Source organism: Homo sapiens, chromosome X (genome assembly GCF_000001405.40).
Source record: "Homo sapiens chromosome X, GRCh38.p14 Primary Assembly".
Taxonomy (NCBI): domain Eukaryota; kingdom Metazoa; phylum Chordata; class Mammalia; order Primates; family Hominidae; genus Homo; species Homo sapiens.
In genome coordinates this window covers 2,726,905-2,745,051 of record NC_000023.11, presented here as the reverse complement: position 1 = coordinate 2,745,051, position 18,147 = coordinate 2,726,905, and the positions used below count along the sequence as shown (strand labels likewise).

At 45.1% G+C, this 18,147-nt stretch overlaps 1 protein-coding gene across 7 annotated transcripts in view; it reads right to left on the bottom strand.

Moving 5' to 3' along the window:
- Positions 3,743 to 18,147, bottom strand: part of CD99 (CD99 molecule (Xg blood group)) — a 50,015-nt gene continuing 35,610 nt past the window's right edge. For 3 of the 7 annotated variants that reach the window (NM_002414.5, NM_001321370.2, NM_001122898.3), the window contains 2 exons: positions 6,796 to 6,852; positions 3,743 to 4,273 (listed from right to left, as the gene is read on the bottom strand). In NM_002414.5, coding sequence (NP_002405.1) covers positions 4,248 to 4,273; positions 6,796 to 6,852 — 83 coding nt within the window. In that variant the 3' untranslated portion in view covers positions 3,743 to 4,247. Of the gene's footprint in view, positions 4,274 to 6,795; positions 6,853 to 8,614; positions 11,696 to 18,147 lie in introns of those variants that run through there. The other 4 variants (NM_001321368.2, NM_001321369.2, NR_135623.2 and 1 more) reach the window with 3 other exon arrangements.

The following is an 18,147-nucleotide window of genomic DNA, read 5'->3' as shown; positions in this document are numbered from 1 at the left end:
GTAACCCTCACAAAAGTGTTAGAAGAATAGATACTTTTTTTCACGATTTTTTTTTTTTTTTTTAGATGGACTCTTGCTCTGTGGCCAGGCTGGAGTGCAGTGGCGCGATCTTGGCTCACTGCAACCTCCACCTCCCGGGTTCAAGCAATTCTCCTGCCTCAGCCTCCCGAGTAGCTGGGATTACAAGTGCGTGCCACCACGCCCAGCTAATTTTTTGTATTTTTAGTAGAGACAGGGTTTCACCATGTTGGCCAGGATGGTCTCGATCTCCTGACCTCTTGATCCAGCCGCCTCGGCCTCCCAAAGTGCTGGGATTACAGGCGTGAGCCACCGCACTCGGCCTTTTTCATGATTTTATATATGAAAACCTTTTGTATCCCCACAAAGGTGTTAGAAGAATTTTTTTTCATAATTTTATATATGAAAACCTGTTGTATCCTCACAAAGTGTTAGAAGAATAGATGCATTTTTTCATGATTTATATATGAAAACCTGTTGTATCCCCACAAAATGTTAAAAGAATAAACTTTTTCATAATTTTATATACGAAAGCCTGTTGTATCCATGACTGTATGTATGCCCATATGAATCATGAATTAAGGAAGTTACCATGGCACAGAATTAACATAAGTAGGTAGTTTAAATATATAAAAAATGAAAGATACAAATCAATATAAAAATATGAAAAGGCTATGAAGAGATACAAAAGAAGTCAACTAAGAAAAGAGATGTATTGGGCCCAGCGCGGTGGCTCACGCCTGAAATCCCAGCATTTTGGTAGGTCGAGGTGAGCAGATCACGAGGTCAACAGATCGAGACCATCCTGGCCAACATGTTGAAACCCCGTCTCTACTAAAAATACAAATATTAGCTGGGCATGGTGGTCTGTTCTCTTCTCTGCGATACATGACAACTTTTCCACATTGAGAACTGTCTCCCCATTAAGGCTTCCAAAATACATGGCTCTATGAAAGCTTGGAGAGGGCTCCACTTGCATTTTGTGCTAACATCATAGAGATTTAAAGTCCTGATATTCGGAATGGGATTGACGTCATAAACTTTCCTCCACCGGAAAATGAGGATATCATCAGTACGTCCTCAGTCGCACAGGCAGGCTAACGTGAAGCTGTTTAAATAGTCATCCAGAGAAAGGCGATTTCAAGGGAATGTTTCATTTCGCCACTGATGATGGTGTTAAAAACTGACTGCTGCACGTCACAGCAGCTAGGCTTCCCATGAATCTCTCTATGCAAACGTATGGTGTTACCATACCCATGTCAAAAATCGTCTGATTTGGGGAAAGAGGTTGGATGAAGGAGTCAGTCATAAATGCTGGGTCTTTCCCCTTTCTAAGCTCAGAAACTCCGCCTTCAATTTCAGTTCTGGGTGGGAGTCATCCAAGCAGTCTCCCTGCTGTTGAGGATTCGACACCTTTTCACATCCCATCATTCTCAGGATATTGAAGGGCACAGCCAGCTGGCTTTTTCTGGCATTGGAGTTATTTCTTCTGATTTTGACACTAGTGATAACTTGGAGTATGTAAAATTGGGTGAACACAGTGGCGGGCACCTCTTGGTTATTTATCTTACCCTTTCATTGCTTCCTTTAGCAAATACCTATAGGATGCCACCTGTGGTGCAGGTGTGTGGAGGTGACCTTCTAGATTCTCCAGGATGTATTGAGACATCACAAATGCCTCATCCTCTCCACCCTTGAGGGGGCCGACCACGGATGTGCATGTTTAATTGTTTAAGGACACTGTCAGTCCATTCCCCATAGAAGTTTCGCAAATGCCCAGGACTTACATGATGTCTCAGATCTGTTTCCTAAGAGCCCTACAAACTTTCTGATTATTGCCAATCTCTTAGTTGAAAAACGACATCAAATGGGCTATCTTCATAAAATCATCTGCGTTCCATTTCTGGAAAACATGTGAATTGCCCTTTGTTTTTATACGGGTGTTGGGTCCTTTTCTCATTGATCTATAGGGACTGTTTACGCCTCAGTGAAGTAGGTGGCAGATATTCTTTTTCACTTAATCCTTAGTCTGGTGAATCTTCAAGGGCTGAAAGCTGGATAAACCAGCATGCCTGGCCGCTTTGCTGAGTGACCAATGACACGTTATAAAGTTAGAGGGTGGTGTTTCTAGTCCTCCCCAATGAATTATCAAGAATTGTCTTTGAGGTCAGATTCTTCACATTGACTAACTTTAGAATAAAAAAAAGAAAAAATGCATTAAATCTGTTGTCATTCTATGAATAACACTGACATTTTTGTAAGTATTATAATCATACCATCCACACAAATGGCTCATTGTAATCATACTATCCACAGAAATGGCTCATTAAACAAGAAGCAGAAGAGTAAAAAGAAGAATAGTAAAAAAAAAAAAAAAAAAAAAAAAAAAAAAAGGTATTTTTTTAGATATGTCAAATTAGGGCTTACTTATAAATAAATCTATACTTCCAAGAAATGTGTCAACAAGACTTATTTTTTTGTGGAGGGTGGATGTCCATCTTTGTAGATGACTGATTTTAATTTCTCATGGACATAAAAATAAACATGATTTTATTGAAAGTGGGTTACTTGAAAAATAGAGTTTAAATTATACGGCTTGTTGGATCATTAAATACCTGGGTAAAACAAGTCTTTTGTTTCATTATTTTGGAACTTCTATGTAAAGAAAGTCCTATGATTTTGGGAATGATGATTAAAAAGTTACTTAAGGGCTGGGCCAGGCACAGTGGCTCACACCTGTAATCCCAGCACTTTTGGAGGCCTTGGCAGGCAGATCACTTGAGGTCAGGAGTTTGAGACCAGCCTGGCCAACATGGTGAAACCCAGGCTCTACTAAAAATAGAAAAATTAGCCGGGTGTGGTGGTGCACGCCTGTAGTCCCAGCTACTTGGGAGGCTGAGGCAGGAGAATCACTTGAACCCAGGAGGCGGAGGTTGCAGTGAGCCAAGATTGCCCCACTGCACTCCAGCCTGGGTGACAGAGCAAGACTCTGTCTCAAAAAAAAAAAAAAAAAAGTTACTTAATGGCTAATAGAACATAGAATAAAATACTTTATAAATTTTTGAAATAATAGTATTTGGAATAGTATGGTAGTTGTTGGTATCAGAGCCAATCTCTTAACTTCTTAAGGAGAGAGGCTTTTCTGTGATTTATTCTGCAAGTGTTTACTGAGCTTCAATACATGCTAGGCAGTGTCAGTAAACAAAAAGACCCTTGACTCATTCATTCTTTTTAACAAGGCAGAAGATCCATTGCAATCTGGGCCATAATGTATTTAACCAACCCACTTAAGCTGTGGTCAAGTCTTCAGTGTTGGGAAAATGCGGTACATCTTGTACATCTTAGGAAGTACAGTATCTGGATGTAGGGAGTACCTGGATTTAGAGGAGTATCTGGATACAGAGGAGTATCTGGAAGCAGGCAGCATCTGGACTCAAGGGGATAACTAGCTGCAGGGAGAGTATCTGGAAACAGAGTATCTGGATGGAGGAGAGTATCTGGCTGGGAGTATCTGGGTGCAGAAGAGTACCCATCCCGATGTGGCAGGACACGGGAAAGGAAAAGAGCCCAACAAGGACATTTTGGAAATAAAGAGCTAGCATTTAGGCTGGAAATCTGCCTTAAAGCCCCAGAAGAAGAGAACTTGGAACCCATCCTGTAAATTACCACGGCCTTCTTTAACATCCACCCACGGCAAAATATTTAAGTAAAAAAAAAAAAGTACTTGGTTTCTAATTTCTTTTTATTAGTCTGATATGAAAAACAAATATCCCTACAAATGAAAGAAATATTGAAGAAACAAATTGAAGGGCTTACCTTATTTTAATTAAAAAGAAGTCGGGGCTACCAGGGGTTTCAGACGTGCTCGATGGACACGTGATTTGTAAACAGCCAAGATTCTGGGGGACGGGGGGGTGCCTCGGTGGGGTTGACATTTGAGTTACAGGGACTTAATAATGGCCAGCCTTTCACATCCCATGGGAAACCGCCCCCCCGGGCCTTGGAGAATGGGGGTCCAAGTGCCTATCCCCCTTTGGATGTAAAATTCATCGTTAGTAAACATCATCCGCCCAGCAACAAGCAAAGCACATCGCAAGATTAAAACAAAGAATCCGCCGTGAACAGAAGGCCTCCATCTCTGCTCTCAGGCAGGTGTCCTTCAGGGAGGAGCCTCAGGCAGCTGTTCTAACCCTGCTGCCAACGCCTGGGCTGTTTCTGCCGACAATCTTCTATTTCTCTAAAAGAGTACGCTGAACTGTGGGAGACAGAGACAAAAGAAAGTCATTCCCAGGTCCCTGAGCACTCACGTGGACACAGTTCCTACAACTTTCAGGAGCCAGTGGTTTTATTTCTGCATAAGAAAAATGGGCCCAAAACTCATCACGAGAAAGCAAAACCCTAAATCTCAATCAATTCAATCAATTTCATTGAATGATGCCATTCATTAAAAAAAATGGATGCTGCAGAAAAAGCAGAAGGAAAACAGCAGAAGGCAATTTCCACTAACGACGTCACAGAGACACTAACAAATGCCTATAACTTACCAAATGGAAGAATAAATCTTCTAAATGAGAGTGTGCAGTTTTTATTGATTTGCAATGATGCTGGGCTGAGATTTTCTGGTCCATTCATTTAAGTTTTGGAAACTTTATTCTGCATGTCAGTCTTAAAACTATTTTGGAGGGAGAAGCTGGGATTTGGAAGAAGGAATTAAGAACAATGGTGGCAGAAAACACTGGAATGCCACGCCCTTCAAGTCACGAGGGCTCCACACACATATACCAATGTACTGGCTAATGAAGCCAGACAACTTCATTGCAGTGGGCAGAAGGAATCTTCCTTTTCTCTTTAAGATATAGCTTGTTCTAAACATCTTTCCCTGACTCGAAAGAGCAGTCAACAAGACACTAACTTTCTTTTATTATTATTATTATTATTTTTGAGACAGAGTTTTGCTCTTGTTGCCCAGGCTGGAGTGCAATGGCGCAATCTTGGCTCACCACAACCTCCGCCTCCCGGGTTCAAGCGATTCTCCTGCCTCAGCCTTCTGAGTAGCTGGAATTACAGGCATGCGCCACGATGCCTGGCTAATTTTTTTTTTTTTTTTTTTTTTAATTTTTAGTAGAGACGTGGTTTCTCCATGTTGGTCAGGCTGGTCTCGAACTCCCAACCTCAGGTGATCCGCCCACCTCAGCCTCCCAAAGTGCTGGGACTACAGGCATTAGCCACCGCGTCTGGCGAGACACTAACTTTGTAGAAGTCTCTATCTTTAAAATGGAATGCCAGGCACGGTGGCTCATGCCTGTAATCCTAGCACTTTGGGAGGCCAAGGTGGGCAGATCACTTGAGGTCAGGAGTTCGAGACCACTCTGGCCAACATGGCGAAAGCCCCGTCTCTAGTAAAAACAGAAAGAAAATTAGTGGGGCATGATGGCGGGTGCCTGTGGTCTCAGCTACTCAGAAGGCTGAGGAAGGAGAATCACTTGACACTGGGAGGCAGGGGTTGCAGTGAGCAGAGGTCGCACCACTGCACTCCAGCCTGGGTGACAGAGAGACACTCCATCTCAAAAAGAAAAAAAATTAAAATATTTTAAATCATTTCATTAAAAATCCCTCTCAATTTGACAGCTGCTATTAAAAATAAGCACTGCATCTCTCAGGCAAATGAGAAGGTTCCAATGTATGCACAAACAAAATAAAAAAATACACGCACATATACACACACACATTTTTTTCTTGCCATTTTCAAAAGTGGTTCTGATGGCAAAATGCCTGCCTTTTACCCTGAGAAGTTTCTCACGAATTAAAGTCTCTTCTTAACCACATTTTCCACCTGGTTGAGAGGATTTTTAGAAGGTGATAGCAGGCTGGGTGCGGTAGTTCACGCCTAGAACCCCAGCACTCTGGGAAGCTGAGGTCGGAGGGTTGCTTGAGCTCAGGATGGGCAACATAGTGAGACCCTGTCTGGGCAACCTAGTGAGACCTTGTCTCTACAAAATAAAAAAAAAACAACAACAAATCAGCCGGACACGGTGGTGCACGCCTGTGGTTCCAGCTTATCAGGAGGCTGAGGTGGGAGGATCCCTTGAGCCCAGGAGATCGAGGCTGCAGTAAGTTATGATCGTGCCACTGCACTCCAGCCTGGGCGACAGAGTGAGACCCTATCTCTAACAACAAAAAAAAAGTTGACAGCAAAACTTAACGAGTTATATTTCAGGAGATGGGCTTTTAATTCCCAGTGCACACCAGCCAGCTGTGGACTTCCCAACTATGCACCAATCGTGTGCCACTTGGAACTTTTTTTTTTTTTGAAACATGTCTCACTGTGTCGCCCAGGCTGGAGTGCAATGGCACGATCTCGGCTCACTGCAACCTCTACCTCCCAGGTTCAAGCAGTTCTCTTGCCTCAGCCTCCCAAGTAGCTGGGATTACAGGCGCCCACCACCACACTCAGCTAATTTTGTATTTTTAGTACAGACAGGGTTTCACCATGTTGGCCAGGCTGGTCTCGAACTCCTGGGAAAACTTCCTTAATATTTTGTTAAACAGAGACTTAGGCACATATAGGTCTTCTCTGAAGGCCCAGGCCCTAGGAAGTTTACACATTCATTGTCTTTTGAAAGTATCCCTCCAAAGCAACGAGACATAAAGGAAGACATTCAAAGCCATGCAACCAAATTTGAGAATGTGAGCAGGACAGCAAGATGGGAGAGGATGGAGAAGATAAAATGGGAACACTGGCCACGTGTGCAAGCCATCGTTCCCCGTCCTTCTTACCAGCTGGCTCTGCGTTGGCATTCCGGTGGCTCTCCATGTCCACCTCCCCTTGTTCTGCTGAAAAGAAGAAGAAAATACACAGAGAGGCTCAGTGCAACAGATAACCCACTCCTCAAAATACACACAAAACACTTGGGCTTTCCTGAGGTCGACGCTCCTATTGCTTGGATGAGAGCACTCAGTTCTGAACCCCGAGACCCACTGGGAACATGGAGTCTAACACTCATGTAAGTGAAGACTTTGCCAGTATTTTTTCATGCATGGCACAGGCAGAGATGAACTTCAACAGGGTAATCCAAGCAGCTTCATTTTCCTCTATTTTAAGGGTTGCTTTCTTCTCCCTAAACACTGAGGAACACGCACATGGAAGCTCTTTCTATAAAAAAAAAAAAAGTACGTGCATCTGTGAAAATAAGATTCTTATTTATAACTGCCCCCAAACTCATCAAACAAATGCAGACGGCTGGGCGTGGTGACTCACGCCTGTAATCCCAGCACTTTGGGAGGCTGAGGCAGGTGGATCACTTGAGGTCAGGAGTTCGAGACCAGCCTGGCCAACATGGTGAAACCCCGTCTCTACTAAAAAATACAAAAGTTAACTGGGCGTGGTGGCGTGCACCTATACTCCCAGCTACTCGGGAGGCTGAGGCAGGAGGATCGTTTGAACCCAGGAGGTGGAGGTTGCAGTGAGCCGAGATCACACTATTGCACTCCAGCCTGGGTGACAGGGCAAGACTGTCTCAAAATAAAAATAAAAATAAATAAATAAAAATAAATGCAGAGGCTGGGCATGGTGGCTCACACCTGTAATCCCACCACTTTGGGAGGCCAGGCGGGCGGATCACGAGGTCAAGAGATCGAGCCCATCCTGGCCAACATGGTGAAACCCCGTCTCTATTAAAAATACAAAAATTAGCTGGGCGTGGTGGCGTGCACCTGTAGTCCCCGCTACTTGGGAGGCTGAGACAGGAGAATCATTTGAACCCAAGAGGTGGAGGTTGCAGTGAGCTGAGATCGTGGCACTGCACTCCAGCGTGGGTGACAGAGCAAGACTGTCTCAAAATAAAAATTAAAATAAATAAAAATAAATACAGAGAATCTCAGCAGATTAGCATCTTTTCAGTACCTAGGGAAAGGGGACTTTCTTCCTTTACCCACCTCCACCAATCATCCTTCTCAGGTTGAATTGGCTCTCCTGTCCCCCCTTCTACCTCCCTCAGAATGCAGAGAGGTGAGTGAGGACTCCGAGCACTAAGAGCTTCCCCAGCCATCAAAGGACAAGACAGCCAAGGCGTCTTGTGTACCCGGTTTTCTTCCTCCTCCAGCATTTTTTCCCAGTCTTGTTTCCATTCCCAAATTTATTTATTTATTTATTTATTTATTATTATTATTATTTCTTTGAGACAGAGTCTCGCTCTGTCGCCCAGGCTGGAGTGCAGTGGCGCGATATCAGCTCACTGCAACCTCCGCCTCCCGGGTTCAAGCAATTCTCCTGCCTCAGCCTCCTGAGTAGCTGGGATTTCAGGCATGCACCACCACGCCTGGCTAATTTTTTGTATTTTTAGTAGAGATGGGGTTCCACCGTGTTAGCCAGGATGGTCTTGATCTCCTGACCTTGTGATCCGCCCACCTCGGCCTCTCAAAGTACTGGGATTACAGGCCTGAGCCACCACGCCCGGCCCTCTATTCCCAAATTTCCATTAAAAAATGTTTCAAACATGCCGCAATGCAAACAGGGTCAAGTCCCCAAATGTTGTCGGTGTCGCTTCTTTTCTGACCCACAGCATAAGCCAACAGAATTGGAAACGCGTAAGAGATGCACAGATCAATAGGTATTTATTTATTTCCAGTGTTGGTGTGAAGGAACACCCACGTTTTCAACACAAAGGGAAGCAGCAGAAGCTCATCGAATCTGTGGCCATGCGTTTCCCCCTCACAAAGACCGTGCTATTTGTAAAACGGCCCCATCTGTGGTTCAAATGCCTTCATAAAGGAACACGTTTGTATGGTGCAGCAGCGTAACTTTTCTTTTTCTTTTCTTTTTTTTTTTTTTTTGAGACAGAGTCTTGCTCTGTCGCCCAGGCTGGAACGCAGTGGCGCGATCTCGGCTCACTGCAACCTCCGCCTCCAGGGTTCACGCCATTCTCTTGCCTCAGCCTCCCGAGTAGCTGGGACTACAGGCGCCCGCCACCATGCCCAGCTAATTTTTTGTATTTTTAGTAGAGACGGGGTTTCACCATGTTAGCCAGGATGGTCTCGATCTCCTGACTTCGTGATCTGCCCACCTCGGCCTCCCAAAATGCTGGGATTACAGGTGTGAACCACCGTGCCAAGCCAGCAGCGTAACTTTTAATGACAGCAGCAGAGACAGCCTCGCCAGTTTACGCTACGTGAACTCCACAGTTTCAACTGTTCTCCCTAACCACTAAATGACTCCCACATAAAGGGCCAAATTCTTTGATTTAAGAAAAAGAGAGGAAAACCCCCTGAAGAGAAGAACATTCGAAATGATCCGAAAATGTTCACCACAAATGTCATTTGTTCTGCCAGTCACAAGTTGTCAACACGGGTGCATTTTGCAGCAAACTGTCCTGGCTAGAAATTGAAAACCTGCATTCATTTCAGAGGACAAATAATTTCTCCCTCTCCCCTCATTGGTTAAAAAGCATAAAAGATATTCTTTTTATTCCTGTAATTTTATAAAACACTACATAAAAGCTGGCGAGTTTTAAAGAGGGAAAAACTGCATTGAAAAGTATAAAGTCTCACAAGGGCAAAGTCCATCTGGGGCAACAGTTCCAACATCACGGACCTCTCAGGAGGAGAACTGGTCTCATGAGATGCTCCGTACACCCCTACCCACATACCCTTCCTGTCAAAACTTAGACCAAGCATGCCACATCTGACAAGTCAACTTCAAACAATTCGTGGTGCTTTTCTTTCAGGCTAGAAATCATCTGTAGCTATTAGAACCATTCAGCAAAGCAATATGGCTTTAATGGGTACCTATGCTTTGTGAAGATATATTTATACACACACACACACCGTGTGCTTGGGGCCAATCCTGAGACCATATACCTGAGGATCACTGTCTAGCAGTGGCTAATCTTTAAGCGGTGTTAGGACAGACACTCTGGGAAACACGCAGGACATTCTGGACTCAGTCCTGTGGTCAATGGGGGGCAGCTTTCATTGCATCAGACTTGAGACACCTTGGGACACATCCTTCAAAGAGTTGGGGGGCTGTAAAGGTGACCTCTGTGAGAAGGTGACCAGACCCATGTGGGTCAAGGTTTTGTGCCCTCACACCATACAGTGCCCCAACACAGGAGGATCAAACCATCCGTGCTCAGCTAGAACTACGGCTCAACCATAAGGGAGGCTGTGCCTCATTTCCACAAGAGGGCAAATAAGAAAAGTAAAAGAAGTAAGAAAAAATTAAAAGGAATATGAAAAAAAAAGGAAAATAAGAAAAAAAAAGAAATCAGAAAAGTCAAAGAAATAAGAGGAAAAGAATGAGGAAAAACGGAGAAGAAATAAAAGTAAAAAAAAGAAAAATAAGTAAAAGAAATAAGATAAAAAGAAAAAGCAAAAAGGAAAACAAATAAGAAAAAAGAAATAAGAGAAAAAAAAAAAGAAAAAAGAAAAAGGGCCAGGCACAGTGGCTCACACCTGTAATCCCAGCACTTTGGAAGGTTGAGGCAGGCAGATCACCTGAAGTCAGAAGTTCGAGATCAGCCTGGCCAACATGGAGAAACCCCGTCTCTACTAAAAATACAAAAATTAGCTGGGTGTGGTGGTGTGTGCCTGTAGTCCCAGCTACTCGGGAGGCTGAGGCAGGAGAATCGCTTGAACCCAGGAGGTGGAGGCTGCAGTGAGCCAAGATTGCACCACTGCACTCCAGCCTGGGCAACAGAGTGAGACTCCAATTTAAAAAAGAAAAATGAAAAAAGAAGAAAAGTAAGAAAAGAAAAAGAAATAACATATAACAAATAAGAAAAGTAAAATAAATAGAAGGAAAAGAAATAAGAAAAAAATGAAAAGAAAGAAAAAAATAAGAAAAGTAAAAGAAAGAAAACAAGTTAAAATCAATTACATTGAAGAACAAGTTGGTGGACTTTGGAAACAGAAGGAAAATCCAGGTACAATTTGTGTTTTTCAGGGATATGAGAGAATCCAAGGAAGACGGCCGCAGAGGCTCCGTGCTCAAATGTGTGAATAGGGACCTGACCACCCACCAATTCCCAACACGCCTTACAGTGTGAAGATCAGGAGATGTTTAGGTGATTCCTCAACGTATGAATTTTGTTTTTCTAGGAACCAAGGTGTGTACCTGTTTGGAACACTGATCACAGAAAGAGTTAAGAACTGCTTCATAGGAAGTGCAGTGAGAAATGCAAGTCAACGGCCAAAAACGTTGAAGATTTAAAAATCCATGCATGACCTGGAAGGTCAAATCCTTAGGACGTGAGTGAGCTTAACCTAGGACACTGCAGGGAAGAGGGTGGCCACCCTGGGCCCCAGTTTGTTCCCTTGGCAGGGATGGACTTAGGGACAAAACTCATTAAAACATGGAAGTCACTGCCCTGTTTCTGTTAGATTCATGTTTAAAAGAAAATATCTGCATTTCTCTTCATTTTCTGAAGCTCTTATGCAGAAATATGATTTGCTATAATGAGCTTCTGTGCATCCAGAAAGGCAAAAGCATATGGAACTGAAGGCAGAGAATCCGCCATGTGATTGAGAATCCCATCGTGGTGGGAATTTGCCAGCAGGGCGAGGGGAGCGGCAGATGGAAGGGTTTGCTTTAAGGCTATGTCTTAGCAGATAAAACGATTACGGTCAGGACGCTCCGCAGGCCTGGGCTGGGTTCTCTGCTCACCCCTAGGTCTTCAGCCATCTGAAATGGAAGGTTGAAAACGATAAAAAATAATAATACAAAAAGTAAACTGGTGCTGGGTCTGCTTTTGCTGTGCGCTGGGGCTCCCAGCAGCAGGGAGGTGTTAGAAAGAGCTGCTCTGAGCAAGGAAGTAATGGGATAGAGGCTCAAAGTGTGAGAGTGGGAAGTGGAAACCAAAATTAAGGAGTGGAGGAAGGGAGAGACAGAGGAAGGCAGGGAGGGAGGCAGGGAACAGGGAGAGCAGGAGGGAAGCAGGAAGAAGGGATGGGAGGAAGGAAGGGAGGAAGGCAGAAAGAGGGAAGGAACGAGGAGGGAAGGAGGTTGGAAAAAAGGAAGCAGGGAGGTATGGAGGAAGGGAGGGAGGAAGAAGTGAAGCAGGGAGGAAGGAAATGAGGGAGGGAGGGAGGAAGGGAAGGAGAGAGGGAAGGAGGAAGGGAAGGAAGGAAGGAAAGAAGGGAAGGAGGGAGAGAAGAAAGAAGGAAGGAAGAAAAGAGGCATGTAAGAACAGGAGAGATGGATGAAGAGAGACAAAGAATAGAGAGGAAAAAAAGAAAGGAAGGAAGGAAAGGAGGAAGGGATGGAGAGGGGAAAAGGAAAGAAGGAGGGAGGGATGGAAAGAAAGGAAGGAAGGAAAGAAGAGAGAAAAAAGAAAGAGGTACATAAGAAGAAAAGAGAAGGAAGAAAGGAAGAGATAGAGAAAAGGAAGAGAGAAAAAGGAAAAGGAGGAAAAGAAGAAGGGAGGGAGGGAGGAAGAAAGAGGGAGAGTTCAAGAAAGAATGAAAAGAGAGAGAGAGGGAGAACTGAGGGCAAAGGAAGAAAGAGAAAAGCAGGGAAGGAAGAGAGAAAAGAAGGAGGGAGGGGGAAAGAAAGGAGGAGGGAAGGAAGAAAGGCAGAGAAGAAGAAAGAGAAAGAAGGAGACAGGGAGAGCCAATCGCCCATCTTGCCAAAGCCTCAAGAAACCCACTGTGAGCCCAGGACCCTGGCAAACAGAGCAGTAGGACCAGCCACCACAGCCAAAGGACAGCATCCTGAACACCCCTTGCCAGCCACGGAAGCTGGGCTCTGTGGGAAGTGGTCAGGCTCCGTGTGGTTAGTGGTCTGAGCCAGGTCCCCCGCGAAGCCAACACACCCAGATGCGAAGTCACAGACCCCGAGTGCATGAGAGAAGCAGCTTCAACAGGCCCCTTCGTATCACATGGACAAAAACCAGGAGAAGCCCAAGCACCACAAACTCAAATCTGTAGGAAGGGAGGAACGGAGGCTGGTGCAAAAGTAATTGTGGTTTTTGCCATTAAAAGTAATGGCAACATAGCAAGACTCTGTCTCTACAAAAAAAGGTAAAAAATTAGCTGGGAGCCACCACACTCAGCTAATTTTTTTTTTTTTACGTTTTTTGTAGACACGAGGTCTTGCTATGTTGCTATTACTTTTAATGGCATAAACCGCAGTTATTTTTGCACCAACCTATAACAGACAGAGCCATCTGATTCCACAAGGAGTTTCTAATCCGTGAACCCCAAAATATAACACTGCAAAGCTTCTCAGTAAATCTATATCAAGTCACAGGATTTGATAAAGGCATCTCCTTGTTGGAAAGATGCCGAAGACTCACCTATGTCTACTCACTCGCCTGGGACTCATTTTAATACAAATTTAACAAACACCACAGATTTCAATGCAATGACACAGTCCCGGAAAATGAGCCTGTCTGGTAGAATAACAGTATCCCCAAAACTGGGCATGGTTTTTCTTTTCTTTTTTCTTTTTTGAGACAAAGTCTCGCTCTTGTCCCCAGGCTGGAGTGCAGTGGCTCGATCTCGGCTCACTGCAACTCTGCCTCCTGGGTTCAAGCGATTCTCCTGCCTCAGCCTCCCGAGTACCTGGAAATACATGTGTGCACCACCATGCCTGGCTAATTTTTGTATTTTTAGTAGAGCCAGGGTTTCACCATGTTGGCCAGGCTGGTCTCAAACTCCTGACCTCAGGTGATCCACCCGCCTTGGCCTCCCAAAGTGCTGGGATTACAGGCGTAAGCCACCGCGCCTGGCCCATGGTTTCTTGAAGGACCAGGGCATGCTATACTCACATCCTTCTTATGAAATCTCCAAGCTCCCCATGAACCTATGGGGTTGCCAGATCTCAAAATCACCATCCCGGAAATCGAACCCATAAAGCAAAATCCTGCCCCAGAGGCTGAGGGCTCTGACATCTTTCGTCTTCCGGATAACTCGATCCAACATCACAATTCCATGTCTACTAACAAAATCATGTCACTGAGATAAATATTAAACTCATTTTATAATTCAGGTATAAAAACCAAGCTGTGAGTGGATGCAGTTGGAAAGGTCCTCTTTTGAGGTAGGGTCTTGGTATTTATAGAAGAGTGCCTTGTTTTTGTTTTCTTTCTCTTTTTTTTTTTTTTTTTTTGAGACAGAGTCTCACTCTGTTGTCCAGGCTGGAGTGTGGTGGCACAATCTTGGCTCACTGCAACCTCTGCCTCCCGGGTTCAAGCAATTCCCTGCCTCAGCCTCCCAAGTAGCTGGGATATTACAGGTGCCCACCATCACGCACAGCTAATTCTTGTATTTTTAGTAGAGACGGGGTTTCACCATCTCTTGCTTCTCTTTGTTATACTTTATTTTATTTTCTTTTTGGCCCTTTGCTTTGTGCATTTACAAAAGGCCAAGAAAATCAATCCCAGGATAACTAGAAAGCAAACCAGGAATTGAAAGTTGGACCTTCTGTTAATTTGGCATCAGAATAAGAGACTTATAGAAAATATTAGAAGAAAATTAGCCTAGCATCTCATTAGTATAAAGTGAATCTTGGACTCCCCTGAGCCAATTCTTCAGAAAGGATGCTTTTTTAAAAAAAATTATTTTGGGGGCCGGGCACGGTGGCTCATGCCTGTAATTCTAGCACTTTGGGAGGCCAAGGCAGGTGGATCATGAGGTCAGGAGATCAAGACCATCCTGGCTAACACGGCAAAACTCCGTCTCTACTAAAAATATGAAAAATTAGCTGGACGTGGTGGCACGCGCCTGTAGTCCCAGCTGCTCGGGAAGCTGAGGCAGGAGAGTCGCTTGAACCCGGGAGGCAGAGGCTGCAGTGAGCCGAGATCACGCCATTGCACTCCAGCCTGGGTGACAGAGTGAGACTCCGTCTCAAAAAAAAAAAAAAAGGTATTTTTATTTTTATATCTAGAGACAGGGTCTCTGTCTGTCGTCCAGGCTGGAGTGCAGTGGTGCAATCATGGCTTACTGCAGCCTCCAATTCCTGGGCTCAAGCAATCCTCACACCTCGGCCTCCAGAGTAGTTGGGACCACAGGCAGGCGCAAGCACGCCCAGCTAATTTTTTACATTTTTTGTAGAGATGAGGTTTCACTATGTTGCCCAGGCTGATCTTGAACTCCTGGGCTCAAGCAATCCTCTTTCCTTGGACTCCCAAAGCACTGGGATTACAGGTGTCGGCCACCTCGCCAGGACATATTTGCTTTTGTTCTTGAAGAATCTAGGAAAATTGTTTCTACCCAGTGAGAGCTTTCATTGTTCATGCCTGCCCCACCTCCTGCAATAAAAAAAGATAATGCTTCCACCCAAGACCAAGACCCAGGGGTGGCGGGGCGGATAAGGTAGAGGAAAAGTTGTTTTTCCTTTTCCCAATTCTATTTCAAAATTTTTGACAAAATCAAGTCTATTAAGCCTCCTGGGTGCTTTCCCAAGTTTGTGTGTCTTCAGATGTGATATGGTGAGCCTCTGTGTCCCCACCCAAATCTCATCTTAAATTGTAATTCCCATAATCCCCATGTGTCCAGGGAGAGACCAGGTTGGGGTCACTGAACCATAGCGAAGGTTCCCCCATGCTGTTCTCGTGATAATGGGATGGTGCCTTGCGTCCCCTTCTGCCATGATTGTTAAGTTTCCTGAGGCCTCCCCAGCCATGCTGAACTGTGAATCAATGAATCCTCTTTCCTTCATGAATTATCCAGTCTTAGGCAGTTCTTCATAGCAGTGTGAAAACGGACTAATACAGGATGTGAATATGAAATAGGCTTACAAGATCCCAAAAGTTCCTACGTCTGCACGCACAAGGTAATAAACATCCTTTGCAACTCATGAATCCAATTTGGGTTGACCTAAAGATTTTCAGAGAATCATCAATCAGAGACTTTGTAGTTTAATGCAAAAGTGTTCAACAATTGTCTGGGATTCTAAAAAAGAGGCCGGGTGCTTTGACTCACGCCTATAATCCCAACACTTTGGGAGGCCAAGATTGCGGGGGGGAACCACCTGAGGTCACGAGTTCGAGACCAGTGTGTCCAACATGGTGAACCCCCATCTCTACTAAAAATACAAAAATTAGCCGGGTGTGGTGATGCACACCTGTAATTCCAGTTACTTCGGAGGCTGAGGCAGGAGAATTGCTTGAACCCGCGAGGTTGCAGTGAGCCAAGATTGCACCACTGCCCTCCATTCTGGGCGATAGAGCGAGACTCCGTCTCAAAAAAAAAAAAAAAAAAAAGCCAGAGAGTTTGAAATACAACATCTAGAATATTACGCATCCTGTCCTGGCAAACAAGCCTTCCTTACCTCCTGGTTGAATATTATGCTGTGAGTTGAACAGTTTCAGAAAAGAAAAAGAAATGTCATTGAAAAGCAAACAAAAATTCCCTTCCATTGAGTCCCTACTGTTTTAACCCCTCCGCTACTTCTAGAAGAAGCAAGAGGGGAGAAGAATGTTATGCTGTTTGCTTTTTTCCAACGTGATTCTAATCGTACGTCTCTTACAGGCATCTCCTTGAATGTGGTCATCTGTCCATTTGGGTCCCGCTCAAAACTGCCATTCAATCAACCAAACACCAGCTGGGCACGGTGGCTCACGCCTGCAATCCCAACACTTTGGGAGGTCAAGGCAGGCGGATCATCCAAGGTCAGGAGTTCGAGACCAGCCTGACCAACATGACGAAACTCCATCTCTACTAAAAAAACAAAAATTAGCTGTGCGTGGTGGTGCACATCTGTAATCCCAGCTACTCGGGAGGCTGAGGCAGGAGAACCCGGGAGGTGGAGGTTGCAGTGAGCCAAGATGGAGCCATTGCATTCCAGCCTGGGTGACAGAGTGAGACTCCATCTCAAAAAAAAAAAAAAAAAAAAAAGAAACAACCAAACACCATTTCCCACTCGTCTGCCCACCAGGTAGGAGGCAACTGTCTTCCACGCACTGCCCAAAACCCCACAGCAAGAACGGGGAAATAAACACGAGCAGCTCATTTAAAGTCTTGAGATCCGAAAGCTGTTTAGGACTCTCCATTTCACGCTCTAAATAATGTTTGTGGATGTCAAATGCTGGAATGATGGGAGATTACGGGGAAACTCCACCCCTACAGTCTAACTTTGTCCACACCAGCATCTATTCAAATGTTCTAGGAATCCCTCTAAAATCTTCAGGAGGCAGTGCTTTGAGTGAATGACATCAGTGACCAAGAATGAATAAGGACTTAAGATCTAAGTAGGGTGAGAAGTTCAGACACCCAGAGGCGTGAGGGACCCCAGGGGCTCCTCCATAAAACAGTAGCTGTTGGCCAGGTGTGGTGCCTCACGCCTGTAATCCCAAGACTTTGGGAGGCCGAGGCGGGTGGATCACTTGAGGTGAGGAGTTGGAGACCAGCCTGGCCAACATGGTGAGACCCCATCTCTACTAAAAATACAGAAATTAGCCGGGCGTGGTGGCGGGTGCCTATAATCCCAGCTACTCAGGAGGCTGAGGCAGGAGAATCACTTGAACCTGTGGGGTGGAGACTGCAGTGAGCTGAGATTGCGCCACTGCACTCCAGCCTGGGCAACAGAGCGAAACTCTGTCTCAAGAAATAAAAAATAAGAGTAGCTGTTCCCGGTCGATGGGATTCCTGCAAACCACAATGCTTGGTCATGCAAGAGGGAAGGCAAGAGCTAAATGTAAGTGCCCAGTGATGCATGCACGTTAGCTGTGTTCCAAATAGCAGGGCTTACTTCCCAGCTTCACGGCGGATCCCAATACAAGGTCCCAAAGAGCCTGCCAGCTGACCTAGGAGGATTGCAATGGTGAGTACGTCCTCCTCCTAATTCCCCTGTAAATTTTAGTCCCGATCCAAGAAACTTCCCAGGTCCTGGGTGCCTGTGGGTTTTCGGTACTAACAGAAAGGGAATCCGCTGTGCTGGTTTTTGTTTTGTTTTGTTTTTTGAGACGGAGTCTCACTCTGTCGCCCAGGCTGGAGTGCAGTCACATGATCTCAGCTCACTGCAAGCTCTGCCTCCCAGGTTCACACCATTCTCCTGCCTCAGCCTTCCGAGTAGCTGGGACTACAGACGCCCGCCACCATGCCCGGCTAATTTTTTGTATTTTTAGTAGAGACGGGGTTTCACCATGTTACCCAGGATGGTCTCGATCTCCTCCTGACCTCGTGATCCGCCCG